Source organism: Homo sapiens, assembly GCF_000001405.40.
Source record: "Homo sapiens chromosome 4 unlocalized genomic scaffold, GRCh38.p14 Primary Assembly HSCHR4_RANDOM_CTG4".
Lineage (NCBI taxonomy): Eukaryota > Metazoa > Chordata > Mammalia > Primates > Hominidae > Homo > Homo sapiens.
The window spans coordinates 124116-150774 of record NT_113793.3 but is presented as its reverse complement, the minus strand read 5'-3'; the positions used below and the strand labels follow the sequence as shown (position 1 = coordinate 150774).

General features: G+C 47.6%; 1 pseudogene, besides 3 other annotated features; it reads left to right on the top strand.

Annotated features, from left to right (window-relative positions):
* Positions 22647-23146: an enhancer, noted in NCBI's record as "H3K4me1 hESC enhancer chr1:142663063-142663562 (GRCh37/hg19 assembly coordinates)". NCBI's record gives its function as "activates a minimal SCP1, AML or CMV promoter by ChIP-STARR-seq in primed H9 embryonic stem cells {active_cell/tissue: H9 hESC(primed)}" and the evidence as "EXISTENCE:reporter gene assay evidence [ECO:0000049][PMID:30033119]".
* Positions 24809-25308: an enhancer, noted in NCBI's record as "H3K4me1 hESC enhancer chr1:142660901-142661400 (GRCh37/hg19 assembly coordinates)". NCBI's record gives its function as "activates a minimal SCP1, AML or CMV promoter by ChIP-STARR-seq in naive H9 embryonic stem cells {active_cell/tissue: H9 hESC(naive)}" and the evidence as "EXISTENCE:reporter gene assay evidence [ECO:0000049][PMID:30033119]".
* Positions 25309-25810: an enhancer, noted in NCBI's record as "H3K4me1 hESC enhancer chr1:142660399-142660900 (GRCh37/hg19 assembly coordinates)". NCBI's record gives its function as "activates a minimal SCP1, AML or CMV promoter by ChIP-STARR-seq in naive H9 embryonic stem cells {active_cell/tissue: H9 hESC(naive)}" and the evidence as "EXISTENCE:reporter gene assay evidence [ECO:0000049][PMID:30033119]".
* Positions 25446-26399, top strand: SNX18P15 (sorting nexin 18 pseudogene 15; annotated as a pseudogene).

Below are 26659 nucleotides of genomic sequence, written 5' to 3'. Positions count from 1 at the left end.
GCAGAGGCAGAGTCTCATGGAAAATCCCTACTAGGGAAGCGCACCTGTGGCTTTGCAGGTTTGAGCCCCAATGGCTGCTCTCATGGACTGGACTAGTGTTGAGTGCCTGTAGCTTTTCCACACGGAGGGTGCAAGCTGTTGGTGGGTCTATGTATCTGGGGTCTGGAGGGTGGTGGCCCCCTGCATGGGGGCTCCAAGTCCATATTTTCCTTCTGCACTGCCCTAGTAGAGGTTTCCCAAGAATGCTTCATCTGCAGCAGGCTTCTGCCTGGAAACAGTGGGAGGTGGGGGTGGGAGGCAGATCCTTCACCAATGGTTAGGCAACGTCTTCTTGATGCTCTCTTCATGATAGTGTGTTCTCATGAGATCTGGTTATATAACAGGGGGTGGCACCTCTTTCCTCTCTCAGTCTTTCTTCTACCCCTGCCATTTGAAACATCTCATTGCCCCTTGGCCTTCTGGTATGATTGGAAGGCTTCCTGATCTGATCCTCCCAGAAGCAGAAGCCACTGTGCTTCCTTTACAGCCTGCTGGACCGTGAGCCAATTAAACCTCTTTTCTTTATGATCATGCAGAAAATTAGTACTATGAAGTGGAGCCATGAAATGCCTTCAAGGCCCTTTCCCCTTTGTCTTGGCAACCAGCACTCAGCTTCTTTTCATGCAAATATCTGAATCCTTCATGAACTTTCCCCCTGAAAATGGACTTTTCTGTTTTACCACATTGCCAGGCTGTGATAAAGATAGCTGACAATGTAGAACCAGGTTCAGAAGTGGGTAAAAGACAGAGGTCAGAAGAGTTGGGAAAGCTTAGAAGACAGCAAGATGAGGAAAATATTGGACCACTATAGAGAATTGTTAAATACTTGTGATAGGAAGGCTGACAAAAGTGTAAACACTGAAGTCCAGACCTAAAAGTTCTCAGATGAAAATGAGGAATTTCCTATGAACAAGAGACAAGATTACATTTGATTGGCCTTAGCAAAGAAGCTGGCTGCATGGGGACCCTGCCCTGGAGATCTGTGAAACTATGAACTTGGGGGTGATGATTTAGGATGTATCTGGTGAAATGAACTTCTAGGCAGCATAGCACAAGAGGTGTCCTGCCTACATTGAACAGCTTGTGTTCTTATGGGTGACCTAAGAAGTGACTTCAAGTTGGAACTTCAAGTGGAGATCTAAAGTTTGGAAAATGTGGAGCCTGGCTAAGTGGTCAAAAAGAAAAGCCGATTTTGAGGGGGAAAATTCAAGAAGGCTTAGGGTATTTGTATAAAAAGGAACCCAGTGCAAAACGCCAAGACAGTGGGAAACCGGCCTTGAAAGCATTTTAGAGATGTCTGCAGCAGCCCTTGCTGTCACAGGCCCTGGGGCCTAGGAGAAAAGAATGGTTTCCTAGGCCAGTCCCATGGCTCTGCTGCTGTGCTCAACCGCAGGACACTGCTGTCGGCATCCGTGCAGCTCCAGCACCAGCCATGGCTGAAAGATGCACAGGTACAGCTTGGGTCATTGCTTCAGAGGTGCCTCAAAGTCTTGATGGTTTCCATATAGTGTTAAGCCAGTAGGTGCACAGAGAAAGAGATTAGAGGATTGGAAACTCCCGTCTAGACTCCAGAAGATGTACAGAAAATCCTGGATGTTCAGGAAGAAGCTTTTCCAAGAGGCAGAGCTTCATGGGGAACCTCTACTAGAGGAGCAAAGAAGGGACCTATAGGGTTGAAGCCCCCACACAGGGAGGCATCATTCTCTAAACCCCAGATTCATGGACCCATAAACAGCTTGCACCCTCAGTGTGGAAAAGCTATGGGCACTCAACAACAGCCCTGTCCATGAGAGACATCCGCGGAAGCTGAACGCTGCAAAGCCACAGGTGCAGATCTGCCCAAGGCCTTGGGAGCTCAGCCCTCACAGCCCTGTGCTATGGATATGGGACAAGGATTCAAAAATGGTGATTTTGGAGCTGTAGCATTAAGTGACTGGCCTGCTGGGTTTTGGACACTTATGTATCCTGTGAGTCACCCACTGCCTGTACAATCATTGTACCTTGGAAGTAGTAAACTTGCTTTACAATTCACTGGCTCATGGGCAGGAGGGACTGTAGACTTGTCTCAGATAAGACTCTGGGCTTTGTGCATTTGAGTAAATGCTGGAATGAGTTAAGATTTGAGAGACTCTAGGGAAGACATCATTACATTTTGCAATGTGAGAAAGACATGAACTTTGGGGGACCAGAGATAGAATAATAGGTTTTGGCTCTCTGTCTCTACCAAAGCTCATGTGGAATGTTAATGCAAAATGTTAAAGGTGGGGGCTGATGGAAGGTGATTTAATCATGGTGGAGAGTGGAGGTTGGATGGTTGGGGGCACCGGGAGGGTGGGGGGGATTCTGGGGTGGAGAGGGTTGGAGGGAATCGGGGGTGGGGAGGGTTGGAGGGGATTGTGGTGGGGTTGGGGGTGAAAGGCAGGGGTGGGGGTGGATCCTTCACAAATGGTTAAACACCATCTCCTTAATGCTGTCCTTCTGATAGTGAGTTCTCTTCATGATTTTGGAGCTGTGAGATTGAATGAACACTGACGTACTGGATTTTGGATGTCCATTGGGCCTGTGGTCCCATTTGTGTTATTTTTCTTGGAAATTTCTTCCCTTTGGATTGAGAAAGTTTACCCAGTACCTGTACCATCATTGTACCTTGAAAGAAACAAACACCCTTTTAACTTCAGGGACTCATAGGCAGAAGAGACTGCAGCCTTGTCTCAGATAAGACTTAAAACTTTTTACATTTGAGTTAATGCAGGAAGGAGTTAAGCCTTTTGGAAACCTTTGAAAAGGCATGATTGTATTTTATTCTGTGAAAAGGATATGATATTTGGGGGGTCAAGGTCAGCATAATATGATTTGGCTGTGTGCCCCTGGAAAAACTCATGTGGAATTGTAATCCCAAATTTTGGAGATGGGGCCTGGTGGGAGATTATTTAATCATGGATGGGAGGGGTAGGGGTGGAAGAAAAAATGGGGTGGGTAGGGTGGGGAAGAGTAGGCTGGCTGTAGGGCCGTGGGAGGGTGATGGATAGTAGGAAGGGGGAGTAGCCTGCTGCAGAGGCCGAGGCTCATGGAAAACTTCTACCAGGGCAGTGCACCTGTGGCTTTGCAGGCTTTAGCCCCCATGGCTGCTCTCATGGGCTGGGCTGGTGTTGAGAGCCTATCACTTTTCCATACTGAGGGTGTGAACTGTTGGTAGGTCTATGAATCTGGGGTCTCGAGGATGGTGGCCTCCTGCATAGTCAGTCAAAGCCCTTATTTTCCTTCTGCACTGCCATAGTACAGGATTCCCAAGAGCCTCTGCCTCTGCAGCAGGCTTCTGTCTGGAACACTAGGAGGTGGAGCTGTGTTGGGGGGCGGATCCTTCACCAATGGTTAAGCACCATCTTCTTGATGCTGACATAGTGATAGTGAGTTCTCATGAGATCTGATTATATAACGGTGTGGCACCTCTTTCCTCTCTCAGCCTTGCTCCTACTCCTGCCGTATGAAATATTTCATTGCTGTTTTCCTGTTGGTATGATTGGGAGTCTTGCTGAGTCCTCCCAGAAGCAGAAGCCACTATGCTTTCTTTACAGCCTGCAGAACCATGAGCCAATTAAACCCCTTTTCATTATGATCATACAGAAAATAAAGTACTGCGAAGTGGAGCTATGAAATATCTTCAATGACATTTCCCCATCGTCTTGGCTATTAGCACTGGACTTCTTTTTAATGCAAATATTTGAAGACTTCTTGAAGTTTCCCCCTGAAAATGGACTTCTTTTTCTTCTACATTGTCAGGCTGCAACAAAGATAGCTGAAAATGTAAAGCAGGTTCAGAAGTGGGTAACAGCCAGAGGTTGGAGAGTTTGGAGAGCTTGAAAGAAGACAGGAAGATGAAAGAAATTTTGGACCATCGTAGGCACTTGTTGAATAGTTGTGATTAAAAGGCTGGCAGAAGGATGGACAGTGAAGGCCAGGCTTACAAGGTCTCAGATGAAAATGAGGAAATTACTGGGAACAGGAGCCAAGGTTACTTATGTTTTGCTGTAGCAAAGAACATGGCTGCAGCGCGACCTTGCCCTCGAGATCTGTGAAACTTTGAACTTGAGGGTGATGATTTAGTGCATATCTGGTGGAATGAACTTCTAGGCAGCATAGCACAAGGGGGATCCTGTCTGCATCAAACAGCCCGTGTTCTTGTGTGACCAAGGTTATGTGTGACTGAGGAAATGACCTCAAGTTGGAATTTATATTTAAATGACAAGCAGAGCTCAAAAGTTTAGAACCATTTGCAGCCTGGCCAAGTGGTCAAAAAGAAAAGCTGATTTTCAGGGGGAAAATTCATGAAGGCTCCAGAAATTTGCATAAAATGGAGGCCAGTGCTAATAGCCAAGACAATGGGGGGAAAAAGCCTTGGAGGCATTTCAGAGATGGTTGCAGCAGCCCTTGGTGTCACAGACCCTGGGGCCTAGGAGAGAAGAATGGTTTCTGGGGCCAGCCCCATGGCCCTGCTGCTGTGTGCAGCCTCAGGACACTGCTGCCTGCATCCCAGCAGCCGCAGCTCCTGCTCCGACCTTGGCTGAAAGATGCACTGGTACAGATTGCATCACTGCTTCAGAGGGTACAAGCTATAAGGCTTCACGGCTTCCACATAGTCTTAAGCCAGCAAGTCCATAGAGCACTAGCCCAGAGGCTTCAGAGCCTTCATATAGATTTTGGAAGATGTATGAAAATGCCTGGGTGTCCAGACAGAAGGCTGCCAAAAAAGCAGAGCCTCCTGGGAAACCTCTACTAGGGCAGTGCAGAAGGAAAATAGGGGGTTGGAGCCCCCACACTGGAGGCCACCATATGCAGACCCCAGATTCATAGACCCACCAAGAGCTTTGTACACTCTGTGGGTAAAAACTACAGGCACTCAACACCAGCACAGCCCATGAGGGCAGCTGTGGGGACTGAAAACTACAAAGCCACAGGTGCAGACCAGCCCAAGGCCTTGGGAGTCCAGCCCTCATGCCCTTGTGCCCTGGATGTGGGACAAGGATTAAAAAAGGATGACTTTGGAGCTGTAAGTTTGAGTAACTGGCCTTCTGGGTTTTGGATTTTCCTGGGACCTGTAAGTCCCATTTGTGTTTCGTTGTTCTCTCTGGCAAAAATCTTCCTTTAGGGTGGGAATTCTTACTCAATGCCTGGACAATCATACCTTGGAAATAGTTAACTTGCTTTGTATTTCAGAGGCTCAGGAACAGAAGGGACTGCATCTTTGTCTCAGATGAGACTTTGGGCTTCAGATATTGAAGTAAATGCTGGAATGAGTTAAGACCTTGGAGGTCTTAGCCAAGACGATGGGGAAAAGTCATTGAAGGCATTTCATAGCTTCACTTCACAGTACTAATTTTCTGTATGATCATAACAAAAAGGGGTTTAATCGGCTGATGGTTCTGCAGGCTGTAAAAAAAAAGCATAGTGGCTTGGGGAATTGTAAGTAAGGCATCACTGTATTTTGCAAAATGAGAAGGACATGAGATTTGGGGAGGCAGGGACAGAATAATAAGATTCGGCTGTGTGTCGCTATGGAAACTCATGTGGAATTGTAATCAGAAATGTTAAAATTGGGGCCAGGTGGAAGGTGATTTAATCATGGAGGGCACTGGGTGTTGGAAGGTGGAGACTGGGGAGGATGGGTGGATTATGCTGGGGGTGAGGGGTGAAAAGTGGGGGTGGGGGGATGATCCCTCACAAATAGTTAAACACCATCTCCTTAATCCTTTCCTCATGATGGTGAGTTCTCGTGATGGTTTTGGAGCTGTGAGATTTAATGGATACTGGTCTCCTGGGTTTTGGACTTGCATTGGCCCTGTGATCCCATTTGTGTTATTTTCCTGGCAAACCTCTACCCTTTGGATGGAGAAAACTTACCCAATGCCTGTACCATCATTGTACCTTGAAAGAAAAGAACTCCCTTTTAAATTCAGGGACTTGTATGCAAAAGGGACTGTAGCCTTTTCTCAGGTGAGACGTGGAACTTTTTACATTCGAGTTAATGCTGAAATGACTTAAGACTTTTGGCAACTTTTGAAAAGGCATGATTGTATTTTACTCTGTGAGAAGGATATGATATTTGGGGGATCAGGGTCAGAATAATATGGTTTAGCTGTGTGTCCCTACCTAAACTCACATGTAATTGTAATCCCGAATGTTGCAGGTGGGGACTGGTGAGAGGTGATTTATTCATGGATGGGAGAGGGGTGGGGTTGGAAGTAAAAACAGGTGGGTAAGGTGGGGAGGAGTAGGCTGGCTGTAGGGTGGTGTGTAGCAGGAAGGGAGTAGCCTGCCACAGAGGCAGAGGCTCATGGAAAACCTCTACTAAGGCAGTGCACCTGTGGTTTTGCACCTGTGGCTTTGCAGGGTTTAGCACCTGCTGCTGCTCTCATGGGCTGGGCTGGTGTTGAGTACCTGAAGCTTTTCCATACTGGGGGTGTGAGCTGTTGGTGGGTCCATGACTCTTGGGTCTGGAGGATGGTGGCATGGGGGCTCCAAGCCCATATTTTCCTTCTGTACTGCCCTAGTAGAGGTTTTTCAAGGGGATCTGTCTCTGCCTCAGGCTTCTGCTTGGAAACAGTGGGTGGTGGATATGGGGAGGTGGGCGGATCCTTCACCAACAGTTAAGCACAATTTTCTTGATGCTGATCTCCTGATAGTGAGCTCTCATGAGATATAGTTGTATAACAGGATGTCTCACCTCTTTCCTCTCTCTGTCTTGCTTCTACTCCTGCCATATGAAATATTTCATTGCCGCTTGGCCTTCTGGTATAATTGGGAGGCTTTCTGAGTCCTCCTACAAGCAGAAACCACTATGCTTTCTTTACAGCCTGAAGAACTGTGAGTCAATTAGACCTCTTTTCTTTATGTAGATACAGAAAATTAATGCTGTGAAGTGAAGTTATGAAATGACTTCTAGGCGCTTCCCCCATTCTCTTGGCTATTAGCGCTGAGCTTTTTTCAATGCAAATATTGGAAGCCATCTTGATGTTTCCCCTGATAATAGACTTTTCTTCTTTTACCATATCGCCAGGCTGCAACAAAGATAGATGACAGTGTAGAAGCAGGTTCCAAATTGGGTAATGGCCAGAGGTTAGAGAGTTTGGAGAGCTTGGAAGAAGATAACAAGATGAGGGAAAGTTTGGACCATTGCAGAGACTTGTTAAATAGTTATGATTAAAAGGCTGACAGAAGGATGGACACTGAAGGCCAGGCTTGTAAGGTCTCAGATGAAAATGAGAAACTTACTGGGAAAAGGAGCCAAGGGTTTTTTCTTTTGCCTTAGCAAAGTAATTGGCTACACAGTGACCATTCCCTGGAGATCTGTGAAACTGAACTTTAGGGTGATGATTTAGGGTGTATCTGGTGGAATGAACTTCTAAGCAGCAAAGCTGAAGAGTTGTCCGGCCTACGTCGAAAAGCCTGTGCTCCTATGTGTGATGAAAGAAATTACCATAAGTTGGAACTTATATTTAAATGAGAAGCAGAGCTTCAACATTTGGAAAATTTGTAATCTGGACAAATGGTCAAAAAGAAAAGCTGACTTTCAGGGGGAAAATCAAGAAGCCTTCGGATATTTGCATAAAAAGGAGCCCCGTGCTAATAATTCAAGACAATGGGAAAAAGGCCTTGAAGGCGTTTCAGAGACCTTTGTAGCAGCCCTTGCTGTCACTGGCCCTGGGGTTTAGGAGAAAAGAATAGTTTCCTGGCCCAGCCCCATGGCTCCACTGCTGTGTGCAGCCTCAGGACACTGCTGCCTGCATCCCTGCAGCTCCTTTTCCAGCTCCAGCCATGGATGAAAGATGCACAGGTACAGCTTGCGTCACTGTTTCAGAGGATGCAAGCTCCAAGCCTTGGTGGCTTCTACATAGTGTTAAGCCAGCAGGTGCATAAAGCACAGGACTAGAAGCTTCAGAGCCTTGGTCTGGACTCCAGAGGATATATCAGAAATCCTGAGTGTCTAACCAGAAGCTTTTCCAAGAGGGAGAGCCTCATGGTAAACCTCTACTCGGGCAGTAGAAAAGGAAAGTATAGGGTTGGAGTCCCCATACAGGGAGGCACCATTTTCCAGACCCCAGTATCATAGACCCACCAGCTGCTTGCACCCTTAGTGTTGAAAAGCTACAGGCACTCAACACCAGCCTAGCCAATGAGGGCAGCTGTAGGGGGAAGATTCTGCAATGCCACATGTGCAGAGCTGCCCAAGGCCTTGGGATCCCAGCCATCACAAAACCCTGTGCTCTGGATGTGGACATAGATTCCAAAAAGATGATTTGGAGCTGTATGATGGAATGCCTGGCCTGCTGGGTTTTTGACTTGCAGGGGGTTTGTAAGTCCCATCTGTGTTTTGTGCTTCTTTCTGGGAAATTTCTACTTTTTGGCTTGGAATGCTTACCCAATGCCTGTACAATCATTGTAACTTGGAAGTGGTTAACTTGCTTTGTATTTCAGAGGCTCAGGGCAGAAAATATGGCAGCCTTGTCTCAGAGGAGACTTTGGCCTTTGGACATTTGAGTAAATGCTGGGATGAGTTAAGATTTGGGGGACTCTAGGGAAGGCCTCATTGCATTTTGCAATGTGAGAAAGACATGAACTTTGGGGGACCAGGGACAGAATAATATGTTTTGGCTCTGTGTCTCTACCAAAACTCATGTAGAATTTTAATGGGAAATGTTAAAGGTGGGGGCTGGTGGAAGGTGAGTTAATCATGGTGAAGGGTGGAGGTTAGATGGTTGGGGGTGGGGAGGGTTGGGGGGATTAAGGGGTGGGGAGGGTTGGGGGCGATTGTGGTGGGGTTGGGGGTGAAAGGCAGGGGTAGGGGGTAGATCCTTCACAAATGGACATTTGAGTAAATGCTGGAATGAGTTCAGACATTGGGGGACTGTAGAGAATGCATCATTGTATTTTGCAGTATGAGAAGGATGTGAGATTGGGGGGCCAAAGGGAGAATAATACGATTTGGCTCTGTGTCCCTACCAAAACTCATGTGGAATTATAATGGGGAATGTTAAGTGTGGGGCTTCGTAGAAGGTGATTTAATCATGGTAGAGAATGGGGGTTGGAAGGGGGATGTGGGAGAATGGAGGTTCATGGTGTGGGTGAGGGTGAAACATGGGGATGGGTGGCAGATCCTTCACAAATGGTTAAATACTATCTCCTTAATGCAGTCTGTGTGATAGTGAGTTCTCGTGATAAATGAATGCTGTCCTGCTGGGTTTTGGAGTCGGATTGGGCCTGTGTCCCATTTGTGTTATTTTTCTGGGATAACCTTCCCTTTGGTTTAAGAAAGCCTACCCAATGCCTGTGCCATCATTGTAACTTGAAAGAAAAGAATTGTCTTTTACATTCAGGGAGTCATAGGCAGAAGGGATTGCAGCCTTGTCTTGGATGAGACTTGAACTTACTACATTTGAGTTACTGCTGGAATGAGTTAAGACTTTTTGAAACTTTTGAAAAGGCATGTTTGTATTTTTCTGTGTGAGAAGGACATGAGATGTGGGGGTGTCAGGGTCAGGATAATATGGTTTGGCTGTGTTTCCCTACAAAAACTCATGGGGAATTGTATTCCTGACAGTTATAGGTTGGGCCTGGTGGGAGGTGATTTAATCACAAAGGGGAGGTTGGTAGCGGTGGAAGGGAAAACAAATGCGTAGGATGGGGAGGAGTAGGCTGGCAGTAGGGTGGTGAGAGTTTCATGGGCAGTAGTAAGGGGGAGTAGCCTGCTGCAGAGGCAAAGCCTCAAGGAAAACCTCCACCAGGGCAGGGCACCTATGGCTTTGCAGGGTGTAGCCCCCATGGCTGCCCTCATAGGCTGGGCTGTTGCTTGAGTGCCTGTAGCTTTTCCATACTGAGAGTGCAAGCTGTTGGTGAGTCTATGAATCTGGGGTCTGAGGATGGTAACCTCCTGTGTGGGGCCTCCAAGCCCATATACTTTTTCTGCTCTGCCCTATTAGAGGTTTTCCTAGTGGCTCTGCCTCTTCCTCAGGCTTCTGCCTGGAAACAGTGAGGGGTGTGGGTGGTAGGGGGCAGAACTTTCACCAATGGTTAAGCAACATCTTCTTGATACTGACCTTGTGATAGTGAGTTCTCAGGAAATCTGGTTGTATAACAGGGTTATACAACGTGTGGCACCTTTTTCCTCTCTGTTTTGTTTCTACTTCTGCCATATAAAACATCCCATTGCTGCTTGGTCTTCTGGTATGATTGGGAGGCTTCCTGAGTCCTCCCAGAAGCAGAAGCCTCTATGATTTATTTAAAGCTTGTAGAACCATGAGCCAGTTCAACCTCTTTTCTTTCTGATTATACAGAAAAATAATGCTATAAAGTGGAACTATGAAATGCCTTCAAGGCCTTTTTCCTATTCTCTTGGCAATCAGCACTCAGCTTCTTTTCAGGCAAATGTCTGAAGCCTGCATTAATTTTTCTCCTGAAATGGACTTTTCTTCTTTTACCACATTGCCAGGCTGTGACAAACGTAGCTGAAAATGTAGAAGCAGGTTGAGAAGTGTGTAATGGCCAGAGGTTGGAGAGTTTGGAGGTCTTGGAAGAAGACAGGAAGATGAGGAAAAGTGTGGAACAGTGTAGAGACTTGTTAAATAGTTATAATTAAAAAGGTGACAGAAGGATGGACAGTGATCACCAGGCTTAGAATGTCTCACATGAAAATGAGGAGCTTGCTGGGAACAGGAGTCAAGGTCACTTTTGTTTTTTCCTTAGCAAAGAATGTTGCTGCATGATGCCCCTAACCTGGAGACCTGTGAAATTTTGAACATCAGGGTGATAATTTAGAGTGTATTTGGTGGAATGAAATTTTAGGCAGCAAAGCTTAAGAGGTTTCCTGTCTGTGTCGAACAGCCTGTGGTCCTATATGTGACCAAAGAAATGACCTCAAGGTGAAACTTGTATTTAAATGAGAAGGAGAGCTTAAAAGTTTGGATAATTTGAAGCCTGGCCAAGTGGCCAAAAAGAAAAGCTGATTATCAGTGGGAAAGTTAAAAAAGTCTTCAGAAATGTGCATAAAAAGGAGTTCAGTGCTAATAGCCAATACAATGTTAAAAAGGTCTTGAAGGCATTTCAGAGACTTTTGCAGCAGCCCTTGCTATCACAGGCCCTGAGGCCTGGGAGAAAAGAATGGTTTCCTTCTCCAGCCCCATGGCCCCGCTGCTATGTCCAACCTCAGGACACTGCTGGCTGCATTCCTGAAGCTCCAGCTCCAGCCTTGGCTGAAAGATGCACAGGTACACCTTGCATCACTGCTTCAGGGGTGCAAGCTTCAAGGCTTGGTGGCTTCCACATAGTGTTAAGCCAGCAGCTGCACACAGCACAAAACTAGACGCTTGCAAGCCTTTGTCTAGACTCCAGAGTATGTACGGAAAAACTGGGTGTTCACACAGAATCTTTTCCAAGAGGCAGAGCCTCATGGGAAACTTTTACTAGGGCAGTACAGAAGGAGAATTTAGGGCTGGAGTCCCTAAATATGGAGGCACCATTCTCCAGACTCCAGATTCATAGACTCACCAACAGCTGGCACCCTTAGTATGGAAATGCTACAGGCACTCAACATCAGCCCAGCCCATGAGGGCAGCTGTGGGGTATAGACCCTGCACAGCCACAGGCGCAGAGCTGCCCAAGGCCTTGGAAGCCCAGGCATCACACACCTGTGCTCTAGATGTGAGATGTAGATTCAGAAAAGATGATTTGGAGCTGCAGGATTCAATGACTGGCCTGCTGGGTTTTTGACTTGCATGGGGTCTGTAAGTCCTTGTACATTTCAGTAAATGCTGGAATGAGTTAAGTCATTGGGGGACAGTAGAGAAGTCATCAGTGTATTTTGCAGTGTGACAAGGATACAAGATTTGGGGAGCAAGAGCCAGAATAATATGATTTGATTCTGTGTCCCTACCAATGCTCATGTGGAATTGTAGTGGGGAATGTTAAAGGTGGGACCTGGTGGGAGGTGATTTAATCATGGAGAAGAGTGGGTGTTGGAGGTAGGGGTGTGGGGAGAATGGGAGAGATTATTTTGTGGGTGGGAGTGAAAGGTGAAGGTGGGGGGCAGATTCTTCACAAATGAGTAAACACTATCTCCTTAATGCTGTCCGCACGACAGTGAGTTCTCTTGATGATTTTGGAGCTGTGAGATTGAGTGAATACTGTCCTGCTGGGTTTTGGACTTGCATTTGTGTTATTTTTCTGAGCAACTTCTTCCCTTTGGATTGAGAAACCTTACCCAATGCCTGTTCTACCTTGAAGGAAAAGAAATCCCTTTTAAATTCAGGGACTCATTGGCAGAAGGAACTGTAACCTTGTCTCAGATGAGATTTTGAAATTTTTACATTCGGAATGAGTTAAGACTTTTGGAAACTTTTGAAAAGGCATGATTGTGTTTTGCTCTGTGAGAAGGACATGAGGTTCTGGGGAATCAGGGTCAGAATAATATGGGTTGGCTGTGTGTCCCTATAAAACTCACGTGTCATCCTTAATGTTGGAGGTGGGCCAGGTGGGAGGTGACTTAATCTTGGATGGGAGGGGGTTGGGGTGGAAGGAAAAGGAGGGATAGTGTGGGGAGGAGTAGGTTGTCAGTAGGGTGGTGGGAGGGTGGGAGCAACCTGCTGCAGAGGCAGAGGCTCATGGGAAACCTCTACTAGGAGAGTGCACCTGTGGCTTTGCAGGGTGTAGCCCCCATGGCTGCTCTCATGGGCTGGGTTGGTGTTGAGTGCCTGTAGCTTTTCCATACTCAGAATGTGAGCTGTTGGTGGGCTTATTAATCTGGAGTCTGGAGGATCATGGCCTCTTGTGTGGGGGCTCAAAGCCTATATTTTCCTTCTGCACTGCCATAGTGGAAGTTTCATAAGAGGTTCTGCCTCTGCAGGAGGCTTCTGCCTGGAAGCAGTGGCCAGTGGTGTGGTTGGAGAATCCTTCACCATTGGTTAGTCTTCTTGATGCTGATCTCCTGATAGTGAGTTCTCATGTGATCTGGTTGTCTAACAGGATGTCACACCTCTTTCCCCTCTCTGTCTTTCTCCTACTCCTGCCATATGAAACATCTCATTGCCTCTTGGTCTTCTGATATGGTTAGGAGGGGCCTGATCAGTGTGGGCCTGCTCAGGGGACCTAGTCAGTTGGGACTTGTCAGTGAGGCCTATTTAGTGGGGGGTGGTCAGCAGGGGTCTGCTTAGAGCGGGTCTCATTAGAGGGATCTAGTAGTGCATGTCTTGTTGAGTGGGTTGATAGTGGTAGACAAATGTTTGGTGTCTGGTCAGTGCCAACCTGGGCTGTGGGACTTGGTCAGTGGAGACCTTGGGACCTAGTCAGCAGAGACGCTTGTCAGTGGGGCCCTGGTCAGGGCAGGCTGGTCCGTGGAACTTAATCAGTGGGGGCCTGGTCAGAGAGGACTTGATCATTGGTGGCTTTTGTAGCACTGGTCTACGGGGTGACCTGGTCAGCGGGGATCTGAGCAGTGCGTGCCTGTTCAGTGGGGCGTAGTCATTAGGGCCCCAGTCAGGGGCATCTTGTCACCTCAGTCCTGGTTAGCAGGGGCCTGGTCACTGGCTGCCTATTCCCTGCAGGCCTGGTCAGTGGGGCTTCGTCTGTGGGACCAGACAATGGGGTCATGATCGGTGGAACCTGATCAGTGAGGCCTTGTCAGTAAGGACCTCGTCAGTGAGGCCTTGTCAGTAAGGTCCTCGTCAGTGGAGTCCTGGACATTGTGGGCCTGGCAGCGGGAATCTAGTTAGTGAGGCCTGGTGATGGGGCTCTAATCAGTGAGGGTGTGGTCAGGGAGGAAGTGATATGCTGGAACTTGTCACCAGGGACCTGGTCAGTGGGGGCTGCTGAGTACTGCTGGGAGATGTCAGGGGAAATGCATGTTATCGAGGAACCTGTGGACAGCTGGGGTGGCCCAGTGGTGTTCAATGGCCCAGTCAAAAGTGGACAAAGCAGGTGTTTGGATGGACCTAGGAGATCTTGCTCAGAGATTCTGACAGGACAAAGGTAAAGGAAGGGCCAGAGTGGTGGGAGAGATAGTCACAGTCTATGGTCTGCACAGGATGGAGGAGGCCAGGGAACAGGCAGGGTGGGCAGCTTGGTTTCAGGGAGAGGCAGGTGCATGCTGGGAGGTCAGACCCTATGAGGGTTGTGGGGGCGTCAGGTGGTGTGGGCTCCAGGTGCACCCTCAGCGCACTGGGCAGGTCTTGGCCCAGGCTCCCTGGACCTTGGCTGGGTGATGTGGTCACTTGCTGGGAGACTGTTGTCAGGTGCTGGCCACCCACTCTGGGTAGCACTGTCCCATCTCAGGACTGGACTTCCTCAGATACTGCAGAGGGCACAGCCTCCAGCCCAGGAGGGGAAGCCCCTTGGTGCAGCCTGAGCTCTCCATGGGCCTGGAGCATCCCCTGCCAGCCCTGCACTCCCTCTTCTCCCTGGTCCCGCTTTTCCAGGGTCAGCCAGTGGGGAGGCCCCGTCCTCACTTCCCTATGTGTCTCCTGGGCTGAAACTTGCAGTGCATTGGGACAGGCATGAGGCTTCCCTAAGGCCCATTTAGGGAGAGGACTGGCTCCCAGCCTGGCACAGGTCCTCAGGTCTGCCTTGGTTGCCTTAGAATGAGATGTATCAGTCAGTGCCCTGAAGGTAAAGGTAGGAGACTGTCCCTGCTGTTGGGAGGCTGGTCTAGGGATGGAGGACTTCACAGGTCCTCCCAGTCTGTCAGGCCTGGGCAGCACTGTCCTGTTTTAGGACTCAGAAAGTCCAGTTCTGGGATGGGACGGCGCTGCCCAGGGAGGGTGGCCAGGGTCTGAGAGCAGTCCCCCAGGGAGTGACCACATCACCCAGCCGGGGTCCAGGGAGCCTGGCCTGAGACCTGCCCTGTGCACTGAGGGTGCACATGGAGCCAACTCCACCTGATGCCCCCACAGCCCTCACAGGTCCTGACCTCCCAGCATGCACCTGCCTCTCCCTGAATTCCAGCTGTCCACCCTGCCTGTTCCCTCAGTTCCTCCATCCTGTCCAGCAGGATGGGATGGGCAGGGGGACAGCCTGTGTGCACATTTCATGGCAAGCAGGAGTGACACACCATCCCTGAGAGGCGCCTTGGTTCCTCCAAAACCTGGCCCCAGAACTCTGTCCTTGGGGTGGTTTTACCAAACCCCAAACCCAGAACTGTGGCTGTGGCTCAGGGGTCAGCACCCGCTAGTTCTACAATGTTGCCAAGGACTTTGATTGTACAATGTTCTTCTTTTCAATAGTCATTCCAAATATTGTGAGATGCACTGTTTCAGGAAGCCCCTTGCCCTCCTAAAAGCCACCCTACTTCTCTCTAAGGAGAATGGCCCAGTCCTCTCCCGAGTTCACACATGGTAGGCGATAGCATTGCTTTTGTGTAAATTACGTAATGCAAATTTTTTTAAATCTTTGCCTTAATACTTTTAAATTTTGTTTTATTTTGAATGACTAGCCTTCATGGCCCCACTTTTTTGTATCCCAACTTGGAATGTATGAAGGGTTTTGGTCTCCCTGAGAGTGGCTCGAGGCAGCCAGGGCTTACCTGTACTCTGACTTGAGAAAAGTTGGATAAAAGTGTTCACCTTAAAAAAAATTGAATGACGAAGCATTAACAAAAACAGTATTTCAGTACAGTGGACAGCTTAGCATTTTGACAATTGGGAATAAAATGCTCATTTCTGAACTGTACAATGTAAGACCCAAAAACAAAACACTGGAAATGGAAATTCAATTATGTCATTATAGACTGGCTACTGCTCTACATGACTGTGACCAACGTCAGATAGTTGAAAGAGATTTCTTTCCAGAGAACAAGACATGAACAGGTTTATTTACAGTAAACAATGAATTCTCATATATCTAACCTAAAATATAGCAGATTCTTTCCGAACAAGTCTAATGTAGACAGTAAAATTAACAGGCTAAAAATTAAACTCCATCAAACAAGATGAACTCTGAGAGAATAGATGGGGCAGGCCGCCATCTTTCCTGTTCAGGCAACTTAGTCATTCCAGCCTGAGGGCTTTGGAGAGTATAAACCGACAAGGGGCAGAAGAGATCCCACAGCACAGCATAGCTGCTTTACCAAATCATGGCCAGAATGCTTCTGTAAGCAGGCCCCCGACCCTGTTGCACATCATTGTACAGGACCTCCCAAATGGGGCCTCCAGCTACCGCCACCAGCATTCCTTGGCCAATAGAAATTTGAAGTGTTCATGGGACAGAGCTCCCAGAGAGAGGGGTAGGCCACCACCTTTGCTGTTTGGGTGACTAGCCGTTCTGGTTTGCGGGCTTTGGAAAGCCCAAGGTGACAAGGGGTGGAAGAGGAACCTCAGCGGAGCACGGCCACACTACGAAAACGTGGCCAGACTCTTGTTTAAGTCAGTCCCCGACCACATTTCTAATCAGCAGGTGAAGCCTTTCAACCAAGGTCTCCAGCTGCCTTCACTGCTGTTCTCTGGCCGACAGAGGTTTCAGGCCTCCCTGAGTCAGAGCTCCCAGGGGGAGGACCAGACTGTTGTCTTTGCTGTTGGGGCAACTCAGCCATTTCAGCATTAGGGCTTCAGAGTGTCTGAGGCAACCAGGAGCGGAAGTGAACACCCAGCATAGCACAGCTGCTCTAGAAAAACGTGCCCAGACTTTTTTTTTTTTAACTCAGTGCCTGTTTTTGTTCCTCCTGACTAGATAAGACTTCTCAACTTGTCTCCAGTCACATCTTATAGGTGCGTTCATACTGGCAACAAGTTCGTACCTCAGTGGCACAGAGCTCCCAGAGGAAGGGGCAGGCTATCATCTTCCCTGGAAAATACAAGGCAGTTAGGGACTGGAGGGGACCCCCAGCATACCACAGCAGCCTGACAGAAAAGTGGCCAGACAGTCTACTTGATGGGCAGGTCCTACTGACCTGGGTCTCCAGCCAGTCCACCATTGGAACTATCCAGCCAGTAGCAACTCAGCAATTCCCTGGACAGAGCTTCCAGGAGCAAACGAAATTCTCTCTGTCATTGCCTCCGCAGTGAAACTGCCCTTGCTACCCTCAGAATATCAAGGGAGCAAAGACCCTAAGTGCCATATTGACACCTCCAATAAGCTGCGGTTGACCCAATGAACAAGCCAGTCCATCTCCCACGGGTACCACACACCCCCCACTGCTCATCACCAGAGAGGGAACACTGGCTTGGCCTCAGAACACAGACCCTCCATCCTGGGCTGATTACGCTAAGTGATTGCTAACTCACATCTCTATGGGATGGAGCACCCAGGAGACAAGCAGAGTGGTGGAGCAGCAAGTCAGGTGATGTGGAGCCCAGAGGGCAGGGACAGCTATCTCTCTAGGCTCCACGTGCCCTTGTGAGACACTTTATCCCAGCACTTTAGGAATGCTAAGTTCAGATCAGCCCCATCTCATGTTCAGGATTGCCCAGCAGAGACCAGGTCCCAGAGTTCCCCTCCTCAAAAAGGGGACTTGCTTAAAAAAGAAGCCTGACCATGTTTGTGTAAAGCAGCTATGCTGTGCCGGGGGTTCACTTTTGAGAGAGTTCTCCTCTGAGACCTGATCTCTGCTGGGCAGTCTTGCACATGAGATGGGGCTGGTCTGATATCAGCACTCCTTTGTCTGCTTGCCTCTCCCAGGACCCCAGCCTGGCCACATCTGCATACAGGGCACTCTCGGATGCCCACAGCATAGCTTCCGTGCTAGTGGACTGTACCTGATCAGTGGAGAGCTGCAGCAAGGTGGCCCCAACAGCCACGCACCAGCCTGCACATTACCTCTCCATACTGCAGCCCTTTATATGGAAACTTCCTACATCACTTTGCTGTGTGTGTTTCCACATGTGGGTTTTGCTGTACTTGCCCTGACAGCACAGGGGAGTGCAGGACACACCCCAACCCACACCAACTGCCATTGAAGACAGAGCCTTGGTGGGCACAGAACCAAGAACCCCACCCCTGCCAGCACCTAACCCTTGAGCTAATGCTGTGCAGAGAAAAAGGGACCTTCTTATACCCTGAGTGACCACTGTTGCTTTGAGGGGCACAGAGAAGGCACCATGGCCTGTACTGGCCAGCAGCCCACCCTGAACCAACACTACCTCCAGTGCAACACACACACAGCAGGGGACCCCTGGCCCACACCCCAGCTGTCTTGCCTCCACCACTGGGTGAACGCCCGCAGGGAGGCAGGGACTTTTGCATCCACTAGCATTCTGCCACAGTTGCCACACTTTTGTCCCCTCAGTGCAGTGGACTCCAAACCTCCAAGAGCCAGAGAACAAAGTTGGGACCCAAGACAAGTTCCCCAGAGTTAAAGCACACAGTCCAGGAATTGGAAGCTGCACATTGGCCCCCCTAAAATCCTCCAAAAACAAAGCCAGTTGGTTGAATCCACCTTATCCCACAATGAAACCCTCAAGATCATCAAATACAATAAAACAAAAATACCCTGTCCGAAGGTCAGCAACCTCAAAGATGGAAGGTGGATAAGCCCATAAAGATGAGAAAGAATCTGTGCGAGAACACTGAAAACTCCAAAAGTCAGCATGCTTTCTTTCCTCCAAATGACTGTATCAACTCTCCAGCAAGTGTTCAGAACTGGGCTGAGGCTGAGATGTCTGGAATGATACAAGCAGGGTTCAGGATATGCGTAGGAACAAAGTTCACTGAGTGAAAGACGTATGTTGTCATGCAATACAAGTGAGCTAAAAATCATTGTAACACATTGTAGGAGCTAACAGACAAAATAGCAAGTATAAAGAAGACACAACCGACCTAATAGAGCTGAAAAGCACACTACAAGAATTTTCATAATGCAGTCACATAGTGATTATGTGTGATTGCATTATGAAAATTATTGTAGTGTGTGTGGGCACCTGAGATTGCCCTGTAAGCAGGTGTGGCCAGGCTGGGGTCCTGGGAGAGGCAAGCAGACTAAGGAGGGCTGAGGTCAAACCAGCTCCATCTCATGTGCAAGACCACCCAGCAGAATAGACCAAGCAGAGGAAAGAATCCCAGAGCTTGAAAACTGGCTTTCTGAAATAAAACAGGCAGACAAGAATGGGGGAAAAAAGAAGGAAAATGAATGAACAAAACATCCAAGAAATATGAGATTATATAAACGACCAAATCTATGACTGATTAGTGTACGTGAAAGAGATGAGGAGAATGGAACCAACTTGGAAAACATACTTCAGAATATCATTCATGAGAATATCCCCAACCTATCCAGACAGGCCAACATTCCAATTCAGGAAATCCAGAGAACCTCAGTAAGATAAGCCGCGAGAAGATCATCCCCAAGACATATAATCATCAGATTCTCCAAGGTCAAAATGAAAGAAATAATGTTAAAGGCAGCTAGGGAGAAAGGCAACGTCACCTGCAAAGGGAATTCCATCAGACTTAGCAGACTTCTCAGCTGAAACCCTACAAGCCAGAAAAGATATTCAACTTCTTAAAGAAAAGAAATTTCACGTAGTATGGCAGAGACAGATATACCATATAATAACATGGTGTTATTATAAATGGTTAAAAGAAAAAGAAATTTCAACCCAGAATTTCATGTCCAGCAAAATTAAGCATCATAAGTGAAGGAGAAACAAGATCCTTTTCAGACAAGCAAATGCTGAGAGAATTCATTATCACCAGATCTACCTTACAAGAGCTCCTGAATGAGGCACTAAATATGGAAAGAAAAGACCATCACCAGCCACTACAAAAATGCACCGAAGTACACAGACCAGTAATGCTAAAAACCAACCACATACACAAGTCTGCAAAATAACTAGCTGACAGCATGACGACAGGATCTAATCCACACATACCATTACTAACCTTAAATGGAAATGGGCTAAATGCTCCGATTGAAAGACACAGGGGGCAAGCTGGATAAAGAACCAAGACCCATTTGAGTATGCTGTCTCCAAGAAACCCATCTCACATGCAGTGCCATACATAGGCTCAAAATGAAGGAATGGTGAAAAATCTTTCAAGCAAATGGAAAACAGAAGAAATCAGGTGTTACACTCCCAGTTTCGACAAAACGTATATACCAATAAAGATAAAAAAAGACAGAGAAGGTCATTACAAAGGTGGTCCTGACCTTTGATAAATCTCATTATTGATTGATACCAACCTGGGCTATCTTTATTGCCCAAACCAACAGGATAATTTGCTGAGGTTGTGGAGCTTCTCCCCTGCAAAGAGTCCCTGATCTCCCAAAATCTGGTTGAGATCTAAGTTTGATTTTTCTGTACAACTCCTTTTCTGAAGTTTTACTCATTTCCAACAAGGAAGGCAAGTTTTCCTGCTTCTGTGGTGATGGAGAGCAGGCACCTCCTTTCCTGAGTTTCAGCTTGCTTCTGACAGGGAAGGTGAGTGTAAGTTGTTTCCAGCTTCTAACATGGCAGAGAACGATCACCAGCCTGAGCCTTGTTTCCAGGTAAGTAGCTGAATTAGAGTTTTGTCTTAAAATTTTTCCTTAATGACTAAAATTTAAGATTACTCACCAGCTGCTTTTAATTTCTGCTTTTAGTTTCTCCTTACCATTAGAACACTCAGTAATCATATGAATTGTGCATTTGTTGTTTTGCTTAACTCTTTTTGTTTGTTTATGCTTGGGGCTTTATTGTTGTTGTTTCACTTTTCTCCCTTCTCTTCCTGACTTGGTCAAATCCAAAGGAATTTTCCAAATTGTGGGGAGCAAGCCCTCTGAATTGGCTAAAACTCCTATGGCTGCAAACAAACAAACAAACAAATAAACAACAACAAAAAACATTCCAGTTAGCAGAAATTATTTTTTAAAACTTTTTTTTTTTTACATAAGTGGTCTCATCTACATAACAAGGCCACCCTTTTGCTAGTCAAGGCTAAACTGAAGGAGTAGTGGTGGTGACCCAATGTGAAGATTGTGCCCTGTTCACTACAGAAACCTGAGTTTGGTTCCTAAGTCTAGTTCTTCCTGTTTGATATTTGTGTTACTTTTAAAGCGTCAGCAGTTTGTCCCAGCTATGATGTGGTAATAAAAGATTCAAAAGGATTTTCTTCACAAGTTCTATGATTAAAAGCTTAATTAAAAGCAAATTTCTTTTTTTTTTAATTGTACTTTAAGTTCTGGGGTACATGTGCAGAACATGCAGGTTACATAGGTATACACATGCCATGGTGGCTTGCTGCATCCATCAACCCATGATCTACATTAGTTATTTCTCCTAATGCCATCCCTCTCCTAGCCCCCCACCCTGACAGGCCCTAGTGTGTGATGTTCCCCTTCCTGTGTCCATGTGTTCCCATTGTTCAACTCCCAGTTATGAATGAGAACATGTGGTGTTTGGTTTTCTGTTCTTCTGTTAGTTAGCTGAAAATGATGGTTTCCAGCTTCGTTCATGTCCCAGCAAATGACGTGAATTCATCCCTTTTTATGGCTGCATAGTATTTCGTGGTGTATATATGCCACATTTTCTTTATCCAGTCTATCATTGGTGGGCATTTGGGTTGGTTCCAAGTCTTTGCTGTTGTGAACAGTGCCACAATAAACAGACAGGTGCATGTGTCTTTATATTAGTATGATTTATAATTTTAGGGGTATATACCCAGTAATGGGATTGCTGGGTCAAATGATATTTCTGGTTGCAGATCCTTGAGGAATTGTCACACTGTCTTCCACAATGGTTGAAGTAATTTATATTCCCACCAACTGTGTAAAAGCTTTCCTATTTCTCCACATCCTCTCTAGCATCTGTTCTTTCCTGATTTTTTAACGATGACCATTCTAAGTGGTCTGAGATTGTATCTCATTGTGGTTTTGATTTCCATTTCTCTAATGACCAGTGATGATGTGCTTTGCTTCACATGTTCGTTGGCTGTATAAATGTCTTCTTTGGTAAGTGTCTGTTCATACCCTTTGCTCACTTTTTGATGGTTTTTTTTTCTTGTAAATTTGTTCTTTGTAGATTCTGCATATTAGCCCTTTGTCAGATGGATAGATTGCAACAATGTTCTCCCATTCTGTGGGTTGCCTGTTCACTCTGATAATAGTTTCTTTTGCGCTGCAGATACTCTTAAGTTTAGTTAGATCCCATTTGTAAATTTTGGTTTTTGTAGCCATTGCTTTTGGTGTTCTAGTGATGAAGACTCTTCCCATGGCTATGTCCTGAATGGTATTGCCTAACACAAGGACATTTCTGTGCCTGACTGCTATACCACCCAAAGTAATTTATAGACTCATTGCTGTCCCCATCAAGTTACCATTACTTTCTTCACAGAATTAGAAAAACTACTTTAAATTTCATATGGAACCAAAAAAGAGCCCACATAGCCAAGACAATCCTAAGCAAAAACAGCAAAGCTAGAGGCATCACAGTACCTGACTTCAAATTATTCTACAAGGCTACAGTAACCAAAACAGCATGGGGCTGGTAACAAATCAGATCTATAGACCAATGGAACAGAACAGAGCCCTCAGAAATGACACCACACATCTAAAAGCATCTGATCTTTGACAAACCTGACAAAAACAAGCAATGGGAAAGGATACCCTATTTAATAAATGGTGTTGGGAAAACTGGCTAGCCAAATGCAGAAAACTGAAACTGGGCCACAACCACACACCTTAAACAAAAATTAAGTAAGATGGATGAAAGAGTTAGAAGTAAGACCTAAAACCATAAAAAATCTAGAAGAAAACCTAGGCCACCAACCTCAGGGGAAATGACCTGTAGTGAAATGCATGGTACAAACAAGCATTCCCTGCTTCCTTGAGTGGGCGACGTTGATGGCTAGTCCAATCACTTCAGGCACACCCTTGCAAACGCGGCTGGTTGCTTTTTGAGCCAGCTTGGCCTTGCCCGGCATACACAAGCCTCAATGCAACAACTTTGCTAAAAATGGAGCCACACAGAGGAAATGAGCAGCAAGCTCAGAAGCAGGGTGTGCACTGCCTTTGGGGCTCCAGTCCATGCCTCAGGGCTTGTATGGGACTGCAGGATTCTTGGTTGCCAAGAGGTAGACCATAGACCAGCCGAGGAGGACTTTATGTTCAAGGGCAGAAAGCAGCCAGGTTTACCACCCAGGGGACTCGGCCTTCTGTGGCCCCGGCCAGACTTAGAATTTGGCTCAAAGTAGGACCAGCTCACTCGGAGTAGTGTGTCAGTAGCTGGGGCCTGTACATGCTAGGCAAGGCTAAGCTGGCTCAAAGAGCAACCAGCCACCACTGCAAGGGTGCTCCTGGATGAGGTGGAGCAGCCAGCAACTTCAGCTACACAAGGAAGCAGGGATGGCCAGGTTCCCACAGCATGAGTGGCCACCGCCTGATGGCTGATCAAGCAGAGGCCTGAGGAAAAGCAGATGGCAGTTGGGCCCTACCTCTAGGGTAGAAGAACTGATGTACCCTGACCGGTAGTGAGTGAGGTTGGTGGTGGGTCCACCGGCTCCTGGCACACCCTTGCAGAGGAGGCTGTTTGCTCTTTAAGGCAGCTTGGCCTTGCCTGGCATGCATAGGCCCCAGGTACCGACACGCTGCTCCCAGTGAACTTGTTCTGCCTTGGACCAAATTCTAAGTGGCTTGGAGTTTGCCCAGCATGCCCAAGCCTCAGTGTAATAACTGTGCAACAAATGGAGCCACATAGCCGAAACGAGCAGCAGGCTCAGAAGCAGGGTGTGCCCTGCCTTTGGGGCTCCAGTCGATGCCTCAGGGCTCCTATGGCACTGCGGGTTTCTTGGTTGCCTAGCTGCAGACCACAGGCTGTCTTGAGGAGGACTTTATGTTCAAGTGCAGAAAGTAGTCAGGATTACCATCCAGGGGACTCTGCCTTCTGTGGTCCTCTCCAGACTTAGAATTTGGCCCAAGGCAGGACAAGCTGGCTCGGAGCAGAGTGTCAGTACCTGGGGCCTATGCATGCCAGGCAAGGCCAAGCTGGCTCAGAGCAACCAGCCACCTCTGCAAGGCTGTGCCTGTAGCAGGCGGACAAGCCAGCAACCTCACCCGCTCAAGGAAGCCCGGATGGCCAGGTTCCAACAGCATGAGTAGCTGCCACCTGATGCCTGATGGAGCAGAGGCCTGAGGAAAAGCAGGTGGCATATTTAACTCTTTAATCCATCTTAAGTTAATTTTTGTATGAAGCAGATGGCACCAGTCCATGCCTCAGGGCTCATATGGCACTGCGGGCCACAGAAGGGCGAGTACCCAGGGTGGTAATCCTGCCTGCTTTCTGCACTTGAACATAAAGTCCTCTTCAAGACGGCCTGTGGTCTGCCTCTTGGCCCCACCTTTAGGGTAGAAGAACTGATGTACCACGTCTGGCAGTGAGTGAGGTTGGCGGCTGGACCATCTGCGCCTGGCACACCCTTGCAGAGGTGGCTGCTTGCTCTTTGAGCCAGCTTGGCCTTGCCTGGCATGCACAAGCCTCACTGCAACAAGTGTGCTACAAATGGAGCCATATAGAGGAAATGATCAGCAGGCTCAGGAACGGGGCGTGCACTGCCTTTGTGGCTCCAGTCCATGCCTCAGGGCTCATATGGCACTGTAGGCTTCTTGGTCGCCAAGAGGCAGAACACAGGCTGTCTTGAGGAGGACTTTATGTTCAAGTGCAGAAAGCAGCCAAGATTAGCACCCAAGGGACTGGGCCTTCTGTGGCCCTGGCCAGATTTAGAATTTGACCCAAGGCAGGACAAGCTTACTCGGAGCAGAGTGTCAGTACCTGGGGCCTATGCATGTCAGACAAGGCCAAGCTGGCTCAGAGCAACTAGCCACCTCTACAAGGCTGTGCCTGTAGCAGGCAGACAAGCCAGCAACCTCAGCTACTCAAGGAAGGAGGGATGGCCATGTTCCCACAGCCTGTGTGGTTGCCGCCTATGACTGATAGAGCAGAGGCCTGAGGAAAAGCATATGGCACTGGGGCCCTACCTCTAGGGTAGAAGAACTGATGTAACCTTACCAGCAGCGAGTGACGTTGGTGGCCGGTCCACCGGCTCCTGGCACAACCTTGCAGAGGTGGCTGGTTACTTTTTGAGCCAGCTTGGCCTTGCCCGGCATGCTCAAGTCTGTGCAACAACTGTGACACAAATGGAGCCACACAGAGAAAATGAGCAGCAGACTCAGGAGCAGGGTGTGTGCTTCCTTGGGGGCTCCAGTCCATGCCTGAGGGTTCATATGGCACTGCGGGCTTCTTGGTTGCAAAGAGGTAGACCACAGGCCATCTTCAGGAGGTCTTTATGTGGAAGTGCAGAAAGCAGCCAGGATTACCACCCGTGGGACTCGGCCTTTTGTGGCCCTGGCCTGACAGAATTTGGTCCAAAGCAGGACAAGCTCACTCGGAGCAACATGTCGGTACCTGGGGCCTGTGCATGCCAGGCAAGGCCAAGCTGGCTCAAAGAGCACCCAGAGCATCCATTCTGGTGGATGAGCCAACCACATGGCCAGCTTCTGGGTGTGGGCACAGTGCCACATCTTCCATCACTTTCTGATGTATCCCACCAGCACTGAAGAGACAGCCTGGAGAGAGTGCAAGAGGAAGGCTGAGAAGGATGAGATAGTGAGTGCCGGCTTCTTTCTGACCCTCAGTACAACCCCAGGTGGTGACCATCAACCTTTAGGGGTGGGAGAGCAAGACTGATGGCTTCAAATGCTTCCCCAAGAAGATGGACACAGGCCACTCAGCTCAACCTCACAGCCAATGAGTTGACAAGCAAGCAGATGACAGTGACAGGCTTTTAGAAAGAGCATCAGAAGATGGCCAGTTTTTCTTCAGCCTCAGCCAGGCCTTGGAACTTGACTAGGCCATCCACTTCACCAGAGATGCCTTCAAGAACATCAGTAAGCTCCTTGCCAATCAGTCCAGGAAGGACCTGGACCCAGCCAGGGACCTGTTAGTGCTGTCTCAGGGACACCAGACCAACATCCTGGACATCATCCTCATACACAAGGAAGCTCTTACCAAAGTCACGGAGAACAGGCAACATGTGGCAGAAGGGAAGACAGAGGTGCAGAGGCTGATGGTGTCATTATCACAGGAACAGGATTTCTTTGGCCACTTTGGCTGAAATTCACCACTTCCATCCAATTCACTCGAGTGAGAGACTTGAAATCACAGATGGAGCATTTCTTGCAACAAGAGATACTATTTTTTCAAAAAGTCACCTAAAATTTGATAGTGTTGAATGACTAGCTATTCGATTGTGGACTTTTTCCAGTTCACGGGTACTTTCTACAGCAGAATGATAACAGTATCAAAGAGCTAGTGCCAGCTATCGGTGGTAGTACAAGGATGACTTTGTGCTCAACTGAAACCCAGCTGAATATAGAATTGTGTAGGAAAGGGTTAATATGGTGATAGAATAGAAAGAGTGGCAAATGAACTAAATCATACTATGAATGCCTACACTACCATTATAACTTTTTGAAGAATGATAATACCACTTACTTTATTGCCTTTTGAAGTAGGGATATTTTAGTGGATATGCTATAGACCTGAAACCCTATAAAGAATCCCAAAGAAGTTGGCTGGATAAAGCCTGCTATGGATGTCTTTATACTCAAAGACTGATGAGGCAATTCGAATATGTGTCCCCACCAAATCTCATGTTGAGTTATGCTTCCTAATGTTGG